General features: G+C 36.9%; 1 protein-coding gene across 4 annotated transcripts in view, besides 1 other annotated feature; it reads left to right on the top strand.

The window, feature by feature from the left end:
* STAU2 (staufen double-stranded RNA binding protein 2) overlaps nucleotides 1-23,863 on the top strand; it is a 327,112-nt gene that overhangs the window by 204,422 nt on the left and 98,827 nt on the right. Inside the window, exon 12 of one of the 4 annotated variants that reach the window (NM_001164382.2) lies at nucleotides 15,255-15,368. The exons of the other annotated variants lie outside the window; for them this stretch is intronic. Coding sequence (NP_001157854.1) covers nucleotides 15,255-15,368 — 114 coding nt within the window. The remainder of the gene's footprint in view (nucleotides 1-15,254; nucleotides 15,369-23,863) is intronic. 4 annotated transcript variants of the gene reach the window in all.
* Nucleotides 22,254-22,393: an enhancer, noted in NCBI's record as "active region_27532". NCBI's record gives its function as "activates an Ori minimal core promoter by ATAC-STARR-seq in GM12878 lymphoblastoid cells {active_cell/tissue: GM12878}" and the evidence as "EXISTENCE:reporter gene assay evidence [ECO:0000049][PMID:35858748]".

Raw genomic sequence — 23,863 nt, 5'->3', positions numbered from 1 at the left:
TGTTTCAGTTTGCCTGTTGATGGACATTTGGGTTGTTTTCACTTTGGGGCCATTATAAATAAAGCTGTTTATGAACATTGATTTACAATATTTTGTGCAGACATATGTTTCCAGTTCTCTTGGGAAAATACCTTAGAGTGAATTGCTGGATCACATGGTAAGTGTACATACAATGTTATAAGAAACTTTCAGATTCTATTTTAATGTATTACATACATTACATTCCTACCAGCAATGTGTGAGGGTTGTACACGTTAATATGGTCAGTCTTATTTTATTGAGAGTATAATGGTGTCTCATTGATATCTTAGTTTGTATTTCACTGAGGACAAATGATATGAGCTTCATTTCATGTGCTTATTGGTCATTTGTGTATCTTTGCGAAGTGTCCACATCTTTTACTCAGTTTCTAATTGGGATTTTCCCCCATAATTATTGATTTACACAAGTTCTTTGTATCCTGGCCATAAGTCATTTGCATTACAAATATTATCTCCCTCCCTATGACTTGTCTTTTTGTTATCTTAACGTGATCCTTTGAAAAACAGAGGTTTTTCCATTTCAATGAAGTAAAATTTTCAGTTTTCCCCCTTAAGGTTTATGCCTTCTTAGTCTAATCTGAGGAATCTTTTGACTACCCCTAAGATCACAAAGACTTTTTATCTTAAGTTTTCTTATGGACATTTAATGCTTTTAGCTTTTATATTTAATGCTAAGACCCACTTAAAGTTAATTTTTAATGTATGGTATGGGGTAAGAGTTGAAATTTATTTTTTTCCTCATAGGATAGCCAGTTGTTACAGGACCATGTATGTCATGTTGTGTTTTGTCTAGGCTTAAGCAAGGAATCTCTCCTCTTAATACTTAAAGCATTAAGATACTTTGTATATCTTTGTTTTTCACCGATTTGATTATGGTACATGTAGGAGTGTTTTTAATCTAGTTTGGGATACATTTAGCTTCTTAGAACTGTAAAATAATGGTTAAAAAATGGTGTTTTTTATTAACCATTTTTGGAATGTTTTGGACCACTATTTTTTCCAAAAAAGTTTTCTACCTTTTTCTCCTTTCCTTTTAGAGCTCCAGTTGCACATGTGTTAAATCTCCTGTTATTCTCCCACAGGCTTCAGAGGCTCTATTTATTTTTCTTTAGTCTTTTGGATTATGTAATTTCTATTGATCTACCTTGAAGTTTTGGATTCTTACAGATTCTTCCCTCCATCCTCTCCAGTTTGCTCTTGAGCCCCTATAATAAATTTTTCATTTTGTTGTATTTTTCACATCTGACATTTCCATTTGGTTGTTTTTTGTAGTTCCTTTTCTCTGTTGAGATTCCATATCTGTATAGTTACTGAGATTGTATTTTCATTTAATTCTTTGAACATCTATATCATACCTGCTTTGAAGTTTTTTGTCAACTAAATCCAACAGCTGGGCCCATTAGGAGTCAATTTCTGTTGACTGCCTTATTCATGAGTGTGATTTACCTTTTTCCTGATTTTTGCATGTCTTTAGTTTCTGTTTGAAAAATGGACATTGTGGATAACATATTGCAACTGTGGATCATCATTTCTTCCCCAGATTAATATTTTTATTTTGGTTTTGGTTTTTGATTAAGTTGCTTAAGCTAAAACTGCAAGCTTTATCTTCTCCATGGTGGTATCCCTCAGCTGATACAGTCTACTCAGTATTTCTACCTTATAACTGCAGCATTTTCTCTTATGGTCTCCTCTGTGCCTGCATCATATAGTGAAAGCCAATTATTTGGGCTGAGTTTATGCTTATATTTTGGGGCCCACTTTTTTTGCCTTTTCTTCTTTCTGGCATTTCCTCCTCTAAATTTCTAGCTGATCTGCCAGCCACACACCCACTGATACTACAGGCCTATAAAGCTTTAGCGTTCAATCATTTGAGCTGCATTCAGATTAGGGACTGCACTCTATTCAAAAAGTAGCAGACTTTCAAATCTCAACCAGTTCTCACTGGTTTCTGCCTACTTTTCCATTGGGCCTTCCAAGATCTCCCTTGTGCATGTGAAGTTTAGCAGTCAGCTGGAATTTGGGTAAAAGATTCAGATTTAGAGTTGTGCCACTTCTGCAGCTTTCTCCTGGGATTTCTTCCCAAAATGTCTAGCTCATTTGCCAACCCTAAACTCTTTCCTCTGCGTCCTCCAGTGGGTAAGACTGCAGTTTTCCACCAGTAGAACTATAAGAAGCACAGATGGAAAAAAAAAAGTCAAAACTCATAATTCTTACTGCATACATTTTGATCTTTCCAGGGAAATCTCTGCCCTGGTGGTATCTGCTTGATTTTGGTAACATTCTAGTGTCTTCAAATATTTTTTATTTTGTCTATATTTTACTTTGATATCTGCAAAAGACTTTGTCCAGTGAATTCATTCTCCTGTTGTCAGAAGCTGGAACTCTACCAATTCTTTTAAAATATTCATTGAATTGACTAATTAATTACTAACTGGTAAACTTGACATCTGTTCAAATAAAATAATTCAAAATTTGGGAAAATCTCTAAATGTAAGATATTCATTACATAATTGGTTACATAAAAACACAATGGATTGAACAAAAGAAATTTATTCTCTCACAGTTGTGGAGGCCAGAAGTCTGAAATCAAAGTGTCAGCAGGGTTGGTTCCTTCTAGAGGCTCTGAAGAAGAATCTGTTCTGTGCCTCTTTTCTAGCTTTTTGTGGCTGCTGGCAATTCTTGGTTTTCCTTGGCTTGTAGATTCATCATTCCAGTTTCTGCCTCCATCTTCACATGGCCTTCTCCTTTGTGTATGTGTATTCTTCTTTGCTGTCTCTTATAAGGGGACTTGTTATTAGATTTCGAGTCTACCCAAAATTCAGAATGATCTTATTCCCAGGTCTTTAATTACATCTGCAAAGACTTTATTTTCAAATAAGGTTACATTCAAAGGTACTAGGGCTACACACTTGGATATATCTTTTAGGGTACACTGTTCATCTCACTGTATATCTCTTTTTTCCTTTAATCTGTATATTTATTATTTTAATCAAATTTGGGAAATTTTCGGCCATTTTTTTCCCTAAATAATTTCTGTCTCCTTTTTTCTCTCTTTTTCCTTCTGGGACTTCATTTACATGCATTTTAGATATTGTCCCACAGATTCCTTGAGGCGTTATTCATTTTTTTCCTCTTAGTTTCAGATTGTACAATTTTTTTTTTTTTTTTTGGATGGGGATGGAATTTCACTCTGTCGCCCAGGGCTGGAGTGCAGTGGTGCAATTTCAGCCCACTGCAGCCTCCGCCTCCCAGGTTCAAGCGATTATCTTGCCTCAGCCTCCTGAATAGCTGGGACTACAGGCACCCACCATAACACCTGGCTAATTTTTGTATTGTTAGTAGAGATGGGGTTTCACCATATTGGTCAGGCTGGTCTCGAACTCCTCAGCTCAAGAGATCCACCTGCCTTGGCCTCCCAAAGTGCTGGGATTACAGGCATGAGCCACCACACCTGGCCCAGATTGTACAATTTCTATTGACCTATAAGTTCAGTGACTCCTGTCTCCTTAATCCAGTAAATTTTTTTTTATTTTGCGTAATTATATTTTTCATTTCTAGAATTTATATATGGTCCTTTTCATTAGTTTCTGTTTCTCTGCAGAGATTTTATATCCATTCATTAATTGCAGATGTATTTTCCTTTACATGCTCAAATATAGTTAGCATAGGTGCATTAAACACCGTTTTTATCCCCATAATTTCAACATCAGAGATGTATTGAGTTTGGTGTCTATTGATTGCCTTTTCTTTTGAGTATAAATCACCTTTTTCTGTTTATTCTATGGCAAGTAATGTTGGATTGCATCCTAACATTTGTGAATAATACATTATAGAGACTTTGGATTCTGTTTACAGTCCTCTGAATAGTTTTGCGTTTTATTTTCTGAGGCACTTAATCTGGCTGGACTCAAATCCAAACTTCTTTCTTCTTGGACTTTCTTTTCTCTTAGTTTCTGGGGCAGTAGCCTCTCCTGACTCTCCATCAAATTCTGTGTCAAATGCTGCACAGAAAAACCTAATAGAGTTGGTATTTATGTGGTTACTGTTCCCTGTTAGGGTGTCTTTAGTGCAAACTTTTTTCATTGAAGTGAATGATAGGGGAGAAAGTTGAGGTAGTGGTAGAAATGCTTTCTTAGAGTAAAAATAGGACTATCTAAAAAAGAACCTGTCATAAGTAGTGGTATTTGCTACCAATTTGGATTTGTAGTTTAAGCACCAACTTATTTCTTCTTATCTTTTGCAAATCAAGTAGCAAGTATTGATGTTTCTTGGTTTAAGTTTCTTGGTCCCCATTACTATGATTCTCATGCATAGGCCTATGTTACTATTTTTTTTTTTTTTCTAAAACTCTGACTTAAGGAGAAAGCTTTTACTCTTCTTTTTCATGAAGCTTTCAATATTACAAGTCTCCAGGCCTTTATACTAGAAATTTTTTCTGTACCCTTTTTCCTTTCCATATCAGAGGTAGACAGTACCACATTGCCCCACTGACTTTGTTTTTCTAATTAAGAGAAAATTTAGTCCCCACAGATTCCCTTCTTTCATTGATTGAAGACTCTTTAAATATAAAATTCTGGCATGCAAAGAAACACTTAAGTTTATTATCTATTCTTAATAGGCTCTTGGCTACTTTCAATTCTCCTTAATTCATAGCACTAATGATTTTATTTCGTATTGTAAATGGCCCTTAAAAAGGGATTTTAAACTTTCAGAAAAGTAAAAAAAATAGTACTGACTTTATTGTTACTGGTTATATTACCATAGTATAATTATCACTACCAGGAAATTTAAAATGATATAAAACTCTTAACTAATGTACAGATTTTATTCAAATTTTGCCAGTTTTCCTACTAATGTCCTTTTTCTGGTCCAGAATCCAGTCTAGGATCCACATTGCATTTAGTTGTCAAGTCTCTCAAGTCTCTTCCAATCAAGTATCAGTTCTTTGGTCTTTCACAATCTTAACCCTTTTGAAGAAAATCAGTTACTTATTTTGTAAAATGTTCTTGAATTTGAGTTTTCCTGATGTTTTCAAATGATTAGATTGAGGTTGTGCATTTTTGGTAAGACTATCACAGAAGTGATACTGTGCCCATCTTAGTGCTCTTCATGTGACTCTTTATAACATGTTTCCTCTACATGCTTTTAGAACCACATTAGACAGTGCTATAGTGTTTACTTCAAATGTCAAATATAATTTAGAAACTTCAAAAAGAGAAAGGAAACCTGTTGTATTTACCAATATTCATACTCTTTTTCATGTTTGTTCTTCCTGCTTTTATCATTTCCGTTCTGTTTCAATAACTTAATTTTAGCCATTGTTTCAGGGTAGGTATGCTGGTGACAGACTGTTTCCTTGTATTTGAGAATGTTTTGGGTTTTCCTTTCTTCCTCAGGGATATTTTTTCTAGATATAAAAGTCTGGGCTGACAGTTCTTTCAGCACTTGGAAAACGTTATGCCTGTTCCTTCTGGCATCCGTGGTTTCTGTTGAGAAACTGCTGTCTTTCTTTTACTTCTGTAGGTCATGAGCTGTTTCTCTCTCACTTCTTTCAAGATTTTTCTTAGGCTTTAATTTTTAGAAGCTTGATTGTCTGTTGATTTGTTTGTTTTTATCCTGTTGGGGCTTACCCAGCTTCTTAAAGGTATAGGTTTATCTTTTACCAAAACTGGGTAAATTTTAAGCTGTTACTTTTTTGAATTTTTTTCAGTCCCACTCATCTCTTTTCCTTCTGGGACTCTGATGACACAAGTCATCAGATTAGATGTTATGATCTCACAGACCCTTGAAGCACTATTTGTTTTTTTCTCAGTCTTTTTTTCTCTGTTTTTCAGATTGGGGAGCTTATATTTTTCTATCTTCAAGTTCAGTGATACTTTCTTCTGTTCTTTCCATTTTGCTATGAAGCCCTTCTACTGAGTTACCTTGTATTTCTTTCGTGAGACTATTTTTTAAAATCTGTTTCAAGAGTGTGTATGTAATTGCTTATTGAAACATTTTTATGATGGCTACTTTAAAATATTTGTCAGATAAGTCTATCATCTGTGACATCTTGTTGGCATCTGATGATTGCCTTTTCTCATTCAAGTTGAGATTATTCTGGTTCTTGGTATAAGGGTGATTTTCTACTGAATTTTGGACATTTTGAGTACTATGTTCCTAAAATTTCTGTTTCAGTAAGGCTCCTCTGACATTGTACCAGTTAGGGAATAGGGGTGCTGCCTTGTTACTGGAAGTTCACATTTTCCACCTAGCCTCTGTTGACATCTTCTTGGGAGGAGGGATATTGTTACAGCTGGGTGGGGGTGAAAGTCCTGACCTTCCACCATGCCTCTATTGACACCACCCTGGCAAGGAGGAGTACGACGCCCCATCATCACTAGGTATAGGTGACTGTCCAGGGATCCAACAGGGATGAAAATCCTAACTCCCCATTTGGCCTTCTCTGTCACAACTTTAGCAAGGAAATTGGGTCGCCTCATTACAGTCTGGTAAGGTGAAAGTGTAGGCTTCCAAATTGACTTTTGCTGTTGGGGATGGAGGTGGATCTGCCATTTTTTCCATGGTGTTTCCCTGGAGTAGGGCAGTTATTGCCTAAAAGATTTATATGTTGTTATATTATTATTTTTTTGGTCCTTTGGTTAGAAAGAGCAGACTTTCTTAGGGCTTTTTTTCCCCACCTGTACCCATTGGCATTCTCAAGTTGCTGGCTTTTCTGGTACCCAGCCAAGGATATGTAAAGCAAAAAGAAAACTTAGGAATTCACTACTGTATTATTCCTTGGGTCCCAAAGACCCTAGTCAGTCTTCCTCCTTCTCTCCACATTTTGGAATTATGCTTATTTTATATATAGCGTCCAGAGCTTTTTGTAGTTAAGCAGGAAAAATAAGAAAAAGTTAATCTATCTCATCTTGTCTGGATGTGGAAATCATAAATGGTCTGTCATCATAAATGTAACTATTTTAAATTCAAGTATATATTATACATTTTGAAAATCTGTAATTCCTGAGTAGAAAGCACCATGTTAAAATATTTTTTTTAAAAAAATTAAATGCCATTATGAATTAAGTCAGTATATAATAAGATTTGTAAGGTCCTGTGTTTGATACCTATTTTTTGAAGTGATATTCAATACAATAGAATTGTAATACATTAGAAATAGTAGAGTTTGCCCCATAGAGAGAAGAGTTTGTATTAGTTTGATGGTATACTGACTGCCTGTGTAACCACAATTTTCCTTTAATGTTGAAAATAATTTTTCTTATTAAAAGGTTAATTCTTTACAAAGCCCTCTGCCGTTTAATGTGGCTTCTTTTACGTATGTAAATGATGTATATAGGTATGTCAAAACATGGGTGCACACTGCAAAATAGGGAAGTGCCTTTTCTGGTAGACATGAAACTGTTAAAGAATCACTTAGTGTTTTCTTTCGATGGAAATGTAAAACTAAAATAATTGTTTGTGTGTGTGTAAGTGTAATTTATGTCCTAACTAGCTGTCTCCCTAGACCTTCACTGGCATAGTTAATGGAAACTAAAAAGCAAAGAACGGCCAGGGGCGGTGGCTCATGCCTGTAATCCCAGCACTTTGGGAGGCCGAGGTGGGCGGATCACGAGGTCAGGAGATCGAGACCATCCTGGCTATCACGGTGAAACCCCATCTCTACTAAAAATACAAAAAATTAGCCAGGCGTGGTGGTGGGCGCCTGTAGTCCCAGTTACTTGGGAGGCTGAGGCAGGAGAATGGCGTGAACCCGGGAGGTGGAGCTTGCAGTGAGCCAAGATCACGCCACTGCACTTCAGCCTGGGCGACAGAGTGAGACTCCGTCTCAAAAAAAAAAGCAAAGATCAAATGTTTAGGATTTTTGTCATGTACATGCTTGTCACTTACAGTAAGAATGTTATTATCCCCCTAAACAACGCTGACAACACATCTGTTTCATTTGTTAGACAATTTTTATCCGTGGCTTGCACAAAAAAATCTTTATACATTACTGCCAGATTTTGATTATCAAATATAAGCATGTAATTTTCAAAGCTTATCTAAAACATAGGATTTTTAAAAGAGAGAAAAGATAATTCCAAGTTGTGTCTCAGTCTGTGTAATGTAATTTCATTCATTTATTTATCCATGTCCCTTTAGAGGCATTAATGTGACAAGCATATTGCATTTAGAGTGAAACATTATGCATCAACTAAAACACTGGTACATGACCAAGCATGTTAAATGTATGTTCATATTTTTGTTACAAAGGAGTGGATGTGATGTTTGTTAGTTATGGAAAGGACTGGGAAAAAACTGAAGAGACAGTAACAGATATTATTCTCTTTAATATTACTTTCAATAATTATATATCTTGTAATTTATTTTATTACATTATGAGTGGATGTGTTATAAGACTATCTGATAGTTATTATTAATGCTAATCATGAGCTAGCTACAGTTCTGTATACTTTTCATGCCTAAATTAATTTTGTTTACTTATACATTAATTCATTAGTTATAAATAGAACTAACATGTAGATTTGTACTGTTGACTGTAGTTAAATAAATACAATAATTTACATGTCATCAAGTGATCAAAAAAAGTAGTAAAGTTTTGAAACCAACTTAATCTACTTATTTAGGTCAATATTTATGAAAGAAAGCTGCTTTGTGCCTTGCCAAGAACATGCTATTTTGTCTTAAGATTTGGGTCTTTATTTGTACAACTTTGTACAACTGAGGTGCAGACGTTGCGAAAATCAAGCATGTTTTGAATCTCCTAAGGTTTAGTGTTCAACTGTCACTCTTCAGCTCCTTGCTGCCTGTACTCTTCTGTGCAAGGCTTCTGTGCAGTAGCTACAGTGGAATTGCTACCTACTGCTGTGAAGTCAACTCCACAGTTAATGGATCTGAGGTGTACTAATCAAATACATGTTTTCTTAACACAGTGATTGTGCTATGTATCACATACCTTAATGATCTAACAGGCAACTTTCTTTAAACATAGGTCTTTTTTATACCCTCCTCATTTTTGTTCCATAGGGGGTGGCCATTAAAAACATCCGACAGACAAGCAGTTAACCCAGTTCCCTGCTGAGATTAGTAAAATTAGTAGTCATGCAACATCAAGGACTTTTAGCTCTGCAGGAAGTAGTTTGACTCAACTTCTTTTCGGAGCTGGGGGTAGGAAATTTAAATTTTTATTTGGATGGCCCCTCATATTTTCAAAACAGCATGAAAAAAATTCACACACCTAGCATTTTATGTAATTTAAGACATTCATTCATTCATTCAGACAGAAACAGGGTCTCATCTCTCTCTGTTGCTCATGCTGGTCTCAAACTCCTGGCCTCAAGCAGTTTTCACACCTTGGCCTTGTAAAGTGCTGGGATTACAGGTGTGAACCACAGTGCCTTGTCTATTTCTTAAATTCTATGAATATTTCAAGTGATTCTATGAATACTTCCTGATTTTCCCTTCAGAAAAAAGGAAGTCTTTAGACTGGCAAAGTCAATATCAGAATGCAAAAGTATAGTATCTCATCTGGGTTTAGAAGAGTACATATCAAACTAGGAAACTTAGTATACCATCTCAAGTATAGTATCTCATCTGGGTTTATGAGATTACAAATCAAACTAGGAAACTTATCTTAAAAGTTATAGATTTGCAAATTTCAAAGAAAGCCGTCTTATTTAATTGATATATTGAAATTTATAACTCACCTTTCAGTGGAATAGTTTTTGTAAATTCATGAGAAAGAAACAAAATATCAATTTATAGTAGTTGATGGTGTTATAAATCCAGAAGAAGCTCTATAACATTATAAAAATCAAGATTGGTTGCTCACATTTTAGAGTACCAAAGGCAGCAAAATGATTTAATTTATAAATAATAAATCTTAAACTGTTGATAAACCAAACTCTGAAGTATTTTTAAAGAGGTTTATTCTAAGCCAATGAGTGACCATAGCCCAAGGAGCAGTCTCAAGAGGTCCTGAGAAAGTGTGCACTGGGTGTTGGAGTTACATTTTAGGGAGACAGGAATTGTAGGTAAAATCAAATCAATACATGGAAGGTGCATATTGGTTCAACCTAAGGAGGCAGAATATCTTGAAGCTGTGGAAGGGGCTGGGTGGGGAGTGGAGGAGGTGCGTGGCTTACAGGTCATAGGTGGATTCAAAGATTTTCTGATTGGCAATTGGTTGAAAGTATTAAGCTTTGTCTAAAGACTTGAAGTCAGTTTAGAAATAAATGCTTAAGATAAAGGGAGTGGTTGTGGAGGCCAAGGTTCTTGTTATGTAGATGAAGCCTCATAGGTGACAGCCTTTAGAGAGAATAGATGGTAAATGTCTCTTTTCAGAGCTTAAAGTTGCCAGACTCTCATTTTTAAAATTTTTTATATTTTTGAGACAGGGTCTCGCTCTGTCACTGAGGCTGGAGTACAGTGGTGCAGTTATGGCTCACTGCAACCTCAAACTCCTGGGCACACCACACCTGTCTAATTTTTTTTGTAGAGATGGGGTCTCCTGTGTTGCCCAGGTTGGTCTCAAACTCCTAGGCTCAAGGGATCCTCCCCTGTTGGCCTCCGAAAGCACTGGGATTACAGGTGTGAGCCACCATGCTCATCCCAGACTCTCATTTAATCTCTTAGACCCAGGAAAGGCCTAAAAAGGGGAGGCTTAATGGAGTTTCTGTACAGGTGCACGTTCCCCGCACAAGGTACTGCTTTGCAGGGCCATTTCAAGGCATGTCATTTAAATATATATTGGGGTAAAATATTTTAATTTCCTTCAGGGACTGCTATCTGTCATGTGATGCTATGGTTGAAACTTAGAGTCAGGTTGGAACTTAGAATCTTATTGCCACAAATAACATGTTTCATCAGTCTTATGACCTCTATTTCAATGTTAATGTTGGTTAGTTATGCCTAAAATGACTGCGCATATCCAACCTCCCTTTCTGTCATGGCTGGGAATTCAGTTTTTCAGGTTTCTCTGAGGTCCCCTTGACTCAGAGGGGGTCTATTAAGTTGGCTGCAGGGGCCTTAGGATTTTATTGTTGGTTTACAAAACATAGGGTGATGACTCTTTTGTAATTTTCTATAATTATCTTTATTCATTTTTCTTTCATCAAAATCAAGGTCCTATGACATTGTGTATTGGAATTTTTCAGGCCACGTTTGTAGAAACGCACTGCTTTGTTCTAGCAGAAAGAGTTTACCCAGTCAGTTCTGAAGATTTGTGTGTTACAGACACAATGAATGGAATTTTGTTGCCCTAATTATTTTAATATAGTGTTCTAAGATTCCTGGTTCCTGCAAATGCTTTGAATCATAAGAAGCATTTTTAGACTTAGAAGAGTGAATTTCAAAATGTCATTTACATATTTTTTTTAATTCACAGTTTCATGAACACTGATATTTTTATTTCCAGGAAGAAAATATATACCTGAAGAAAGCCATATTTAACTTGTCTTTATGAGTCATTGGTTGAGTATGTAAAATGTGACTTTTTCTTAAGGCCTTTTATCAGCATATTATTACGTTTAATTTGAAATTGGGTCCTCAAGCAAGAGTTTCATGTTTTTCCCTACATATTTTTATCTGGTTTACTGAGCAGTCTCAATGCAGTGGGGATATAACACAGAATGATTTTATATTTCTCCAGTCACCCCCTTCCTCCGTGCCTTGCCACATCTCCCATTCATGTTCCTTTGTGATATCTTTGGCAAATTCCATAGTTTTCTGGCTAGCTTTTAGTTTTTAAAAATCTAATGCATCAGTGTAGAACTCCAAGTTCATACCCTTCCATTGCAAGCCATTCATTTTGGCTCCAGAGACTTAGAGGAGGGACAGTGTACACTGATCTCTTTCACTCCTCATCTCACTCAAGCATATGTATTTGAGATTGGTGGGGTCAGAGCTTAACCTGGCTCTGAGACACCTTCCTGCACACTTTACGTCTATTTCATGGGCTTACTGCTCTGGAGGGTTAGAGGGTGACTAGGGTAGAGGAAGCTGCTACTCATCCTGGTTTCATCCACTCCTGGTGGCCTCCATTGTGCTTTTCCATGTACACCATGTCCATGTGTCTTGAGTCAGTGGCCCCCTCTGGCCCTGAGGGACAGCCACGTTTTCTTTTGGCTTTACCAGTGGTTTGTGCTCTGACCTCCTCTGTTGGTGAGTGTTACTTTGGCTGGCCTGAGTAGCCCCTTGGCTTCTGCTGGGATTCTCTCATGCTGTTCAAAGGCCATGGAGGTAGGCAGTGATCATATCTTCCTTTATCTTTTTGTTTTTTCAGGTACACTACCTACCTAGGACTCCTTCAATAAGCTCTCAGATACCTCCAAGCCCAATTTCTGTATTTTCATGTGCTTCTAAACTGCCAGGGATATACAGCAAACTCAGTCAAAATTTCTATTCAAAAAGGGCCTACAGTTTCAGTTCTCAGCAAGCCTCCCACCAGGGAGTGATATGTCAGCCTCCCCTTCATGCAGGTATTCCCACTCTGTATCAGCTATTCTCTTAGAGCTACCCACTAGCTGGAAATACTGTATTTCTCATCAGGCTGACAATCCAGATGATTCCCTCCTGTTGTACTCCCCCATCCTTTGTTCCTTTGTGTGTTCTTTGTGATTGGACCAGTTGTACTGACTTTTACAAGGGGGTTCAGGGGAAAGCCTAGCCCTAAATGTTGGCAGCTCTCTAGAGCTTCTTTTGGTTTGGCCATGAGTCTTGGTGTCAGTTATGGGCCAATAGGAGAAAATCTCACTGAGATTAGGTTCTTTTGTGAGTGATAAAAAGCCCAGTGGCTTAAACAATATAGAGATTATTTTTTTGTCACTTAAAGGTCCATAAGCTTGCAGGCTACAGCTGGCATGATGGTTCTGTTCCATGAAGTCCTCATGGACCCAGTTCCCTTCCAACTCACTACTCTCATCTAGGTTTTGGCCTTTGTCCTCGCAGTCAAGATGATAATATCTATACTCCAAACAGCAGGTTGGCTAAATGGGTAAAAAAGCAAAAGGCACGCACTTGAAATCTCTTTTAAAAGTTTTCAGGAAGCTGCCACATAATTCTTTCTTTTACAGTCTACTTAGTTATATGGCCAGTTGCAAGGGAGCCTGGAAAATATGGTTTTTTATTTTGAGCTTCCAAGTGCCTGGCTAAGAATTACGGTGGAAGAATCTTGGAGGACAACTAGCAGTCTCTGTCACATCATTGGGTGCTGTGACATCTTTGGAGCTGTGTGCTAACTTGCACCTTTACATTTATCTTTCATATATGAGTTATATATGTAAACACACTAATATTGAATGTCTGTAAGGCACAATGTTTTATTAGTACTTGCAGGCTTCACAGTGAATTGTATACAGTTGGGAGAAAAATTATATGTCTCATTAATGGTATCTGAGTCACTGATGGAAACGAAGTTTAAAGTTTATTTTTTTGACTGCAATTGTCCTATTTTTGTCCTTTCTAATTTTCATTTCTCTAAGAGAAAGAATAGAGCTACATTAAGTCAGCTGACATAGAAGTGTGTTTACTGTCACTGTATATTTAGGAGATTGTCATGTCTTTCATACAGACTTTCAGTTGGTGTCGAAAGGGTAATTATATTTTATTAAATTTTAAAAGAGCATGTTTTATAATAGCACTATATCAGACATAATAGTTTAACCATGCCATAAATGGTTGTGAACTGTTGCTATTATTTTAGTGCCAGCATTTATTGGCTTTTACATAAACCTATTATGTGATAAGTTTCATTTTTCCCCTTATACCTAGTTGCTGTGTAGTAAACAACACTTCCACATTCTTGAACTCGTATACATTGACTGAGCTTTTAATTTGCTCAGGAAGTGTAGGATGGTGAATTAGAACTGTTGTCAAACCTTTTTCCCCAAGGTTAACTTGGTAAAAATATTTTTTATAACAAAATCTTTATAGTACTTTGGGAATAAGGCTTTTATGTTGACTTGATTTGAGCTCTAAACTACTTTTATAGATTCCCAGGAAGAAGTTTCCCTACCTCCAGGGAAAATGATGGCCATTCTTAACAACCCTACTGGTTTAAAAAACTTGAATTATTAAGCCATTAGACTAGGGCTCATATTGTAATTTTCAGTCAGATCCATATTATACATGATTAAATAAACGTAGGCCATATTCTGCAATAAAAATATATGGACATTATGCAGCAATTAGAATAAAACCCAAGACAAGGGAATAACTCAGGTATACAATAAAAACCAAGACAAGGAACTAACTCAGGTATGTGTTTTAATTTTCTTCCTCACAAATTCAAAATTTTCACTTAAGCCTTTATCCTAAATCTATACACATTTAACAAATTGAGCAAGTTATAGCTAATAAAACCAATTTTCTCTCTAATATAATAAATAGGAATCCCTAATTTATTCTATAAGCATATTTTCATTAATTTTATTACGAAAGTGATGCTCTTTTTACTTTATTAGCTTACAATTTTAAAAACCTGGAAGTTTTTGACAGTGGATAAATGGAAGGATGGAAATTTTCTTAATGGGAAGACGGACTCAAACTCTTCCCCCTTCCCCATGTACCTTACCTCTGATGTGGAGTGTCTTACATGTGGCTTTAATAATGGTTAGTTGTATTTAACTAAATGAAAGATAATATTGTGACCACTTTATTTTGGTCTGCACATTACAAATCATTTCAATTTAATTCAATTTGATTGTAATGTCACAATTTCAAACAGAACATGATATAGTGATATATATTCAACAGTGGTTTTGTAGGGACTATACTGTAGAAATAGAAGAGTGTCAGTACCAATTATGTGGCAGTCACATACACATGGAGTCAAAGAAGAGAGAAAATTCAGGTTGACAAAGTTACATTAGAATCAGATGAACTTTGACTTACGCTTATGCTTGAGCCCTTTATGGATCATGTATTATAAAAAGCTGGACTTGAAAGATAGGTATAGCATTTAGTTGTGAATTTTTCTACTAGCTATAATGTAAAAGCACTTTGCATAGCATTTCCTAAACTCCCTTAAATCCTCAAAAAGACTTAAGATGGAATTAATAGATTCAATTCAAGTCCCAGATATTGGAGGGGTTCAATAAGGTTTTAAATATTTAAAGTGTGTTCTGTGAAATCTAGACCCTTTGCAAAAGGACCTATTTGCATCTTGTCCCCTCTGAAAATGGTGTTCAGTGGATTGCGTGTGTTCTGTTATAGGTTCACTACTGTGATAGACAAAGTGGCAAAGAGTGTGTGACCTGTCTGACATTAGCCCCTGTGCAGATGACTTTCCATGCTATTGGAAGCTCCATTGAAGCCAGCCATGATCAGGTATAATATGCCACTGCCATTTTGCTGTGTTATGGCCCAGCTCGGAAATGGAAGGCCATCAAAATGGAAGCTATGTGCGCACATGCAGCTTTGCTTTCCTTAATACATTATCTGCTAGCACCATCTGCTAGACTTGAAAAATCAAAATTGTTTGTGTTGGGAAATTGATATCATAGTAGATTTAAATTATTTTAGACTTCTTGTTTGCAGTTCATTATTATTTTAAATATGGAATTATTTTATATGAAAAATAGTTGTCCCACAGGTTATTTTTATCTTTAATAGTTATATATGAGAGGAAGGGTCAACAAAACAATATAGATAACACTGGAGTCTCGCTGTAGTATACTCATTTGGTTCTGTTAAAAAGAGTTTTGTATTATAGAATGTACAGTGATGCGTCACTTAATGACAAGGATATGTTGTGAGAAATGCATCATCAGGTGATTTTGTTGCTGTGCAAGCATCACAGAATGTACTTACACAAACCTAAATACTAGAGCCTACCACACACCTAGGCTATGTGGTAGAGCCTCCTGCTCCCACTACAAACGTGTACAGCATGTTACTTTGCTGAATACCATAGGCAATTGTAATGCAATGGTATCTGTATATTTAAACATAGAAAATGTACAGTAAAAATATGGTATTGTAACCTTCTGGGAGCACCATTATATTTGTGGTCTGTTATTGACCAAAACGTCATAATGCAGCATGTGACTGTATGTAGAACAACTGTGTAAACTTTCAGAACCATCAACTTAGTCCCATAACTTGGGATATTATTGAAATAAAGTTCCAGTATTGTTTTTACTTTTAAAGGTTTATTTCTGAAATAAAGCTAAAAATCTGAAAAGTGTATTGTTTCTTAATAAACAAATTCCTTTTATTGTTTAGATAGCAGCTTGAGAATACATCCTGTTTACAACAGAATACATATTTTTCATTAAAATAATCACTTTAGACTAAACTAATGTCCTAAATCACAGAATTTCTGGCTTGGAGTCAGAGTAAGTAGACATACATGTTTTCTGTATGACTAACCAGTTATGCTTTCTAAATTAGCCATTCATGTACAGAACAACTATAATCCAGCTTTATATCCGTTTTTCAGTAAATTTGAGGACTTCTAATAGTCTTACCTAACTAATCTTCTTTTCTTCTATCTCACTAGTACTTCTTGCTTGGAAAGAATAAAGAGTCTATCTTCTCAAACTCATGATTTATCATTGTCCAACTCAAACAAGACTTTGGAAAACATTCTTAAGGACATACCTTTCTAGTTCACAATGCCTCTGACATTGTTTGTTTCCAATCATTATTCATTCATTGGTGGGGAAGTATTGTGATATTTAGGGAAGATCATGTAATTGGTGGTCAGAAAATCTGAGTTTTAGGAATGGACCATAGTATAGGTTTGCTGCAGCTACCTGGATGGATTCTGTTACTTCCTTGCAACTCTGTTTCCTGGTTATGTTAAATGAAGGAGTTGGGTTAGATGACTTACAAGATCCATTCCAGTGCTGTTATGATTCTGTAACTGATCTTCCTGATCCAGGTTGAATGAGCCCAACCAAAAATAAACAGTTGTAGCATATTAATATGGAAAGCAGCTTAGAGACCACTCCAGTGCTTCTCAGGGTTTTACATTGACATATGCCCTAGCTGTAGAAGAGAGTGCAGTAGGAACCTGAGGGGCATGGCCTAAATTAGCTTACAGAAGAGTATTATGTTTCCTTGTGTAAACTACAAATTGACTGTATGCTAGGTGCTAAGGATACATGAGGAGAATGTCAGACATGGTTCTTGCTCTCATGGAGCTTACAGTCTAGCAACTCCACCTTTTTGAATACTGGGCAAGTACAGTGTAGCTAACTTTATATCTATCTATGTATCCACTCATGGTAGAGGCAAATGTCAAAAGCAGCGTGGGATACCTCTCTTGGAAAGGTCTCTTCTAAGGCTGAGCAAAGAAATGAAAAAGCACATCAGTAACCCACACCTCTGAAAAGAGCAACCCACTGTTCACAGAGGTGGCATGTTGCTGTAACACTGGAGTGAGAGTGCAGACTGGGATCAAATGCAATTTTGCCTTGAACTAGCTTTGGGACCTTGTTTCTTCACCTCTTGGGGACTTGGCTTCTTCATATATAAGATAATGAGGCTAGTTTGGGCTTGTGCCAAGTTCCTATGCCAAGGTACTCAAAGTTCAGGGCTACTGTTCACCCATATGACACCTTTACAAATTAGAAAAAAAAAGTGCCTCTTCCTCAAGGCATTTTACTGCCATCTGACAGAAAATTTTTGTAATAAGTCTACAATAACTGCGGTGTGAATGCACCCCATTGAGGTGTGCAGTGTACACCTGCACGACTGTACATAGTGGTCTCACTATATCTAACTGAATGTCAATTGCACTCAATGATAAATTAAGACATTTTTATATTAAAGCAAATACAACTATTTTATAGATGACAAATTTGCATGAAATTTTAAGATAGAAACTTTCAGGAAATGTGTTGATGATGGTCACATTGGTAGATGAATAAATGACTGGAATAAATGTTGGACAGGAATAATCATCCTGTACATCAAACACTATTGTAGTGGCCTAGGAGGTAGAAAGTAGGGGGTGTGATCACTGCTCCTCTCTTGTTCTTGGATATTTGGGCTCCCTGGGGAAAGGAGACACAAAGTAAATCCCCACTTCACACCCTCTGGCTTTTCTACATTATGTTGCCGTTACCCTCTCCCCAACCTGAGGGTCTGTCTAAGCAAAAGGTACTCCTTCACCGTAGCAGCATCAACTTGATCTCATAAGGTGGAAAACTTGGACCACTAAATGCTTTTTCACCCATTAATTTGTAAATGCTAGTAAATAGGGAAACATTTTAAAGCAAGAAAAATTGTAATCATTTTTTTAAAGTTTCTATTCATAATCCATTTGGCCCAATGCAGTTGACCAAACAGAATTGGTATTCTGAGAAAAAAAGTATATGTGAAATTTGGAAGTGGTCCTTCTTATGAAACACAGGTTGTTCTTACCTGTGTGGAAAACAAAGGCAAGAAATGGAAGAGCTCTCTAGACTTGAGCCTTTATAGCTTATCTTCTTATTTTTTAAAAATGTAACTCTAGGAACTTAGTGAAGTGGAAATTGAATACATTACCTGGTGCATTCATTTGCTGTATTAAAGGGTAACAGGACAGAGACTGTTAAGTGAAATTTCTCTATCAGAAGTTGATACGGATATGCAAAATGATCAGGGGAAAGATTCAATACCATCTATATGCTGATGATGCCCAAATTTATGGAACTCTTTGTTCCCTGCGTCCCCCTACCATGCCTGCTCCTACCTCTTCTGTCCTTTCCTCTGTCCCAGTGAATGTTACCATCATTACCTTGTTGCTCAGACCATCCTTGGAGCTTTCCTTGAACCCCTAGTCCCCGTCACATGCTACACCTTGTCCCAGCATCTCTTCCTCTAAATTATGTCTCTGACCTGACTGCTTCTCACCACCTCCAATTTTACCATTCTAGTTTAAGTCCCTATCATTTTTAACCCAGATGACTGCAGCAGTCTCTAAATTAGCCTCATTTTTTCTACCTTTGCTCCACTGTAGTCTCTCTTTCACATATTATTTTGAGACAGAGTTTTGCTCTGTCACCCAGGCTGGAGTGCAGTGGCACAATCACAACTCATTGTAGCCTCAGCCTCCTGGGCTCAGGCAATCCTCCCACCTCAGCGTCCCAAAGTGCTGGGATTATAGGTGTGAAAAATTAATCTGATTACCTGACTCAACTACACAAAACCTTCCAGTGGCTTCCCATCACACCTCCTATAAAATGCAAAAAATTTAGCTATGGCACACAAACTCCTATGATTTGGCCCCCTCCACTTATCCAACTTCAATTCCTCCCACTTTCCAGTTCATCAGTTGTGTCCGAGTCTCACTGGCCTTGTTGTCAGTTACATGATGGTTGGTGAAAGAAACCATTCGAAAGGCTACATACTATAGATTCCATTTATATGACATTCTGGAAAAATCAAAACTATAGGGATAGAAAACAGATGAGTGGTTGCAGGGGCTGGGGGTATGGAGAGGGATTAACTACAAAGTATCATGAGGGAGTTTTGGGAGGTAATGGAAATGTGTTACATCTTAATTGTGGTGGTAGAAACATGACTGCGTTTGTCAAATTCACTGAACTACACTCTAAAAAGGGTAAATTTTACTGTATATAGATAATACTAGATTAAGCCTAATGTTAAAAAAACAGCCAGATTCATTGCTTTATCACGTACTCGTATGCAGTCCTGATTCTGAGAAAATGTGGATGCCATCCTCTTGCCTCTCCTGTGCTCTCTTGGTGTGTTGGCTCCACCTTGGAATGCACTAAATTTAACCCATAGCCTGGTTTAGAGCTTCTCCAAATGCCAGTGATTAGTTAAGGCCTGCTTCAGACTTTTCTTTTTTTTTTTTTTTTTTTTTTTGGAGACAAAGTCTTGCTCTGTCACCCAGGCTGGAGTGCAGTGGCGTGATTTCGGCTCACTGCAACCTCCACTTCCCGGGTTCAAGTGATTCTCCTGCCTCAGCCTCCTGAGTAGCTGGGATTACAGGTGCACGCCACCACACCTGACTAATTTTTGTATTTTTAGTAGAGACGGGGTTTCACCATGTTGGGCAGACTGGTCTCGAACTCCTGACCTCGTGATCTGTGCGCCTTGGCCTCCCAAAGTGCTAGGATTACAGGTGTGAGCCACTGCACCTGGCCCAGACTTCTTAAAGTAATTATCAGTCTACAAAAAGTGGTCTAAGCCCACTCCTGTCTGGCTTTAGCGAAGACGTCTGTAGGCCAGAGTTTCCCATCCTGAAACCCTGAATTCTCATCCAGACAGTGGGCAGTCATTCAGGCTGGGTTTGCCTGGAGGTCCTCGTGATGTCTTGGAGAGAATGTTTTGACATTCTCATGTTTACCTTATTCATCACAACAAATATGATATTAGAAATTCACACTCAAATTAGTTCAATTGTCCAGAACAAAAACATAGCTTAAATTTTCAGATACAGATTTCTCAGCAAACATGAGCTAACTGTGAATAACTGTATGTAGGAATACTCCTTTAGACACTAGTGCATACAAAGGTCACTGATTTACAATTGCTGAGCCAATTGTCTTATGAAATTTTGAACTTGTCAGTCATTTATTTTTTAAGATTGAGCTGGTGAGGGTTTTGCTCAATATTCTTCAGCATATCCTATTTGGAAGTTGGTTGTATTGGTTAGTGTATGTTATTAAAAGCAACATACTTAGTGATAGTTCAGGAGGGTTTTGTAATCTCCTAGCTTGATATAACTCACTAAGTATTATTCTTGACTCTGTCATGACACCCTTTCTATATGTTTCCTCATCACTTTTAGATGTTACTAAGTATCTTTTCCTGTCTCCTTTAATTACATTAGTCACCTTCTAATTACAGCCCCAAAGTCATAAACTTCCTTCCCTATCTTTGTTTCCTTTTTATTCATCTTCATTCTGATTGCATTGTCAATATCACCAAATCTCACAAAGATTGGGTAAGTAGATGTAGCTTAGTAAAAACACTATAGCTTCTAATTTCTAGTTGATAGTTTTATTGCTGCCTGCCTTATTGTGTTGAGGTTAGATCTTGAGCTTACTTGCTTCATATACATGAAAGAATGAATTAGTAAATCAACCACCTAACCAAGCATTAACTAGCCAATGAAGTTTAACATATGTATATTAGTATTTACTGTAATCTGACTTCTAGTCAACAAAAGCAAGATTACCACATAGAGTAAATGACTGCATATTTCATATATTACAAATGCTCTTCAACCCATCTAAATTGAAAATATTATAAGTAGAAAATGGATTTAATGCACCTAACCTACTGAATATCATAGTTTAGTTTAGCTTAGCCTACCTCATTAGTTGTTTTTCCTCATGATCAAGTGGCTGACTGGAAGGTGCAGTTTGCTGCTGCCACCCAGCATCTCAAGAGAGTATGGTATGCATATTACTAGCCCAGGAAGTTCAAAATTGGAAATGCAGTTCCTTCTGAATGTGTATCACCATTTTAAAGTCAAAAAATCATAAGTTGAATCATTGTAAGTTGGGAACCATTTGTATTTTGAATAAAAATCCAATTCTACAAGAGAAAATAAGCAAGAACCAAATCTATATGTAGTATGTTTACCGTATACATACATATACATATGTGCTAGGCTCTCCGTACATTATTTTGCTTAGTTCTCAGAATAATGAGGTATAAACTCTAGCAGTTGTATATTTGCTAAATCACCTTTAAGGGTTTATGTCCAGATTAGTAAAATTAAGCTGAATTGTTTCCAATGTGTATGCTTTGACTAGGATTCAAGTCAGGCCTCTTAATGAAAGGACATTCATGAAGTGTAACAATTTACAAATCTAATGAGTATTCTAGTTTTGATTAAGTTCTGCTTGTAGGTTATTCTCTGATTAATTAAAATTCTCCTCGCCTGAGTCATTAGGCTGTAATGTCTTACAACTAATGATATTTTAGAACTAAGAAAGGGAAAGCCTTCCCACATATTACCCCAATATACATTATCACAACAATAATATATTGATTGTAGACTATGTACAGAGCTTTTGCAGTACGAGATGGTCTTAAGTGATAGTATCTGTATTCCCTTGCCCTTGAGGTAATTATGGTCTAATGGAGTGTATCAGCCAGGATGCTTTTGGCTACAAGTAACAGAAAACCTGACTCATATTGGCTTAAATAATAACGAACCTCATTATCTCACATAACAGGAAGTTCAAAGGAAGGGTGAGCTCCAGGGTTGGTTGATAAAGCAGCTCAATGATGTCAGCAAGGACTCAGGTTATTCCCATTTCTTAGCTCTGACATCCTCCACTTCATCCTCTGACTCAGAAAGATAGCCACAGGAGTTCTCTGTGTTGTGTGCAGTATAACCACATCCAGAAGGAGAGAGCTGATCTTCTTGTGTCCTGGGCAAAGACATCTGTACCAGGAACCCCTCCAGCTATCTTTCCCTCAATTTATAAGCCTGGGTTGGGTTGGTCATGTGCCCATTTCTACACCAGTTGCTGGCAGGAGAAGTAATCACTTCTGGTTTAAATGCTTGGGGTGAAGTAGTTGTTGAGGAATCAACCGCAAGGACTACTACATAAGGGATCAAGTGTCACATATGCAATTTTAAATTTTCTAGTAGCCGTATTTTAAAAAGTCAAACAGTTAAAATTAATTGTAATAATACATTTTATTTAACCCAATATATCTAAAATATCATCTCAACATATAATCAACTTTTAAGATTATTGAGATACTATTCTTTCATACTTGAAATCTGGTATGTATTTTATTCTTATAATACATCTGATTTAAAACTATTACATTTCAGGTGCTCAGTAGCCACATGGGTGTTGGATGCACAAGTCTGTAGGATGAAATCTCAGGAGACTGTGATTTGGTTCTTTGCCTATGTCTCCAATCTCATCTTTTACCATTCACCCTGTACTTATACCCACGCTTTATGCTCTAGCAGTCCTGAGTTACCATATTTCATGCTCTTACATGTGTATCTTTGCATGTGTGTTCCCTCTGCCTGGCCCATTCTCTCATTGCTCATAGGGTAATTTTAATTGTTCTGTCAGATTCAGCCAAGATGTCACTCCAGTCAATAGGCCTTCCCCAAACCAAGAGAGAGTTAAAACTCTGCTTCCTTTGAGCTCTATCTGTACTTTGTACATTATCCCATTGTTACACTTATCAAGCTGTCTCCCAAGATCTCTTCATGTTGGTCTACCCCACTGGGCAGTGATCTCCTTGAGATACAGGGCAGAGTCTTGCTCACCTCAGTATTCTCAGTGTTTATGCTCTTGCACTTACGAGGCACTTGATATGTGTTTATAGGATGGAATTAAATTGAATTTCTAAGAAAATTAGAATGACTTAGGTTTGGTAAAATTCATTTGGTAAAATTAGTGAGAGAAATAGAATGTCTGGCCTAGTAAGCTTTTTCTAGTGGTGGCCCTATAAGGACATTTTTTTGTGAAAGAATCCCAGAGCTTGATCTTGGTGTATTCACATACTGTAAATACATGTAATTGGCCTTAGAAATCCATCATAATATCTCCATTAGTTCTTTTCTCTGTTTATAACTTTTCATTGTTCTAACATATTATGCATATGAGTACATTTTTCGTGGCGTCCTAAATTACTTTCTTCAAGTACCAGGGGCAGCCTCCTTATTAGTATACAAGTCACTAATCACTGAATAATGTCATTCATGACTGCATTCCTCAGAATCTAAAGAGACGTCATAGGTTTGAGCAAGAATTTACCAAGACGAACTTTTTTATTAATATAAAAGACATACTTAAGTGACATTGCATAATAACAGATTCCATGTCTTCATCCTAGGGGTCACTGCAGTGGGTCCTGGCATTCTTTGTTTGAGATAG

Source organism: Homo sapiens, chromosome 8 (assembly GCF_000001405.40).
Source record: "Homo sapiens chromosome 8, GRCh38.p14 Primary Assembly".
Lineage (NCBI taxonomy): Eukaryota > Metazoa > Chordata > Mammalia > Primates > Hominidae > Homo > Homo sapiens.
Note: the sequence above shows the minus strand (reverse complement) of the source record. Positions and strands in the feature narration are given on the sequence as shown.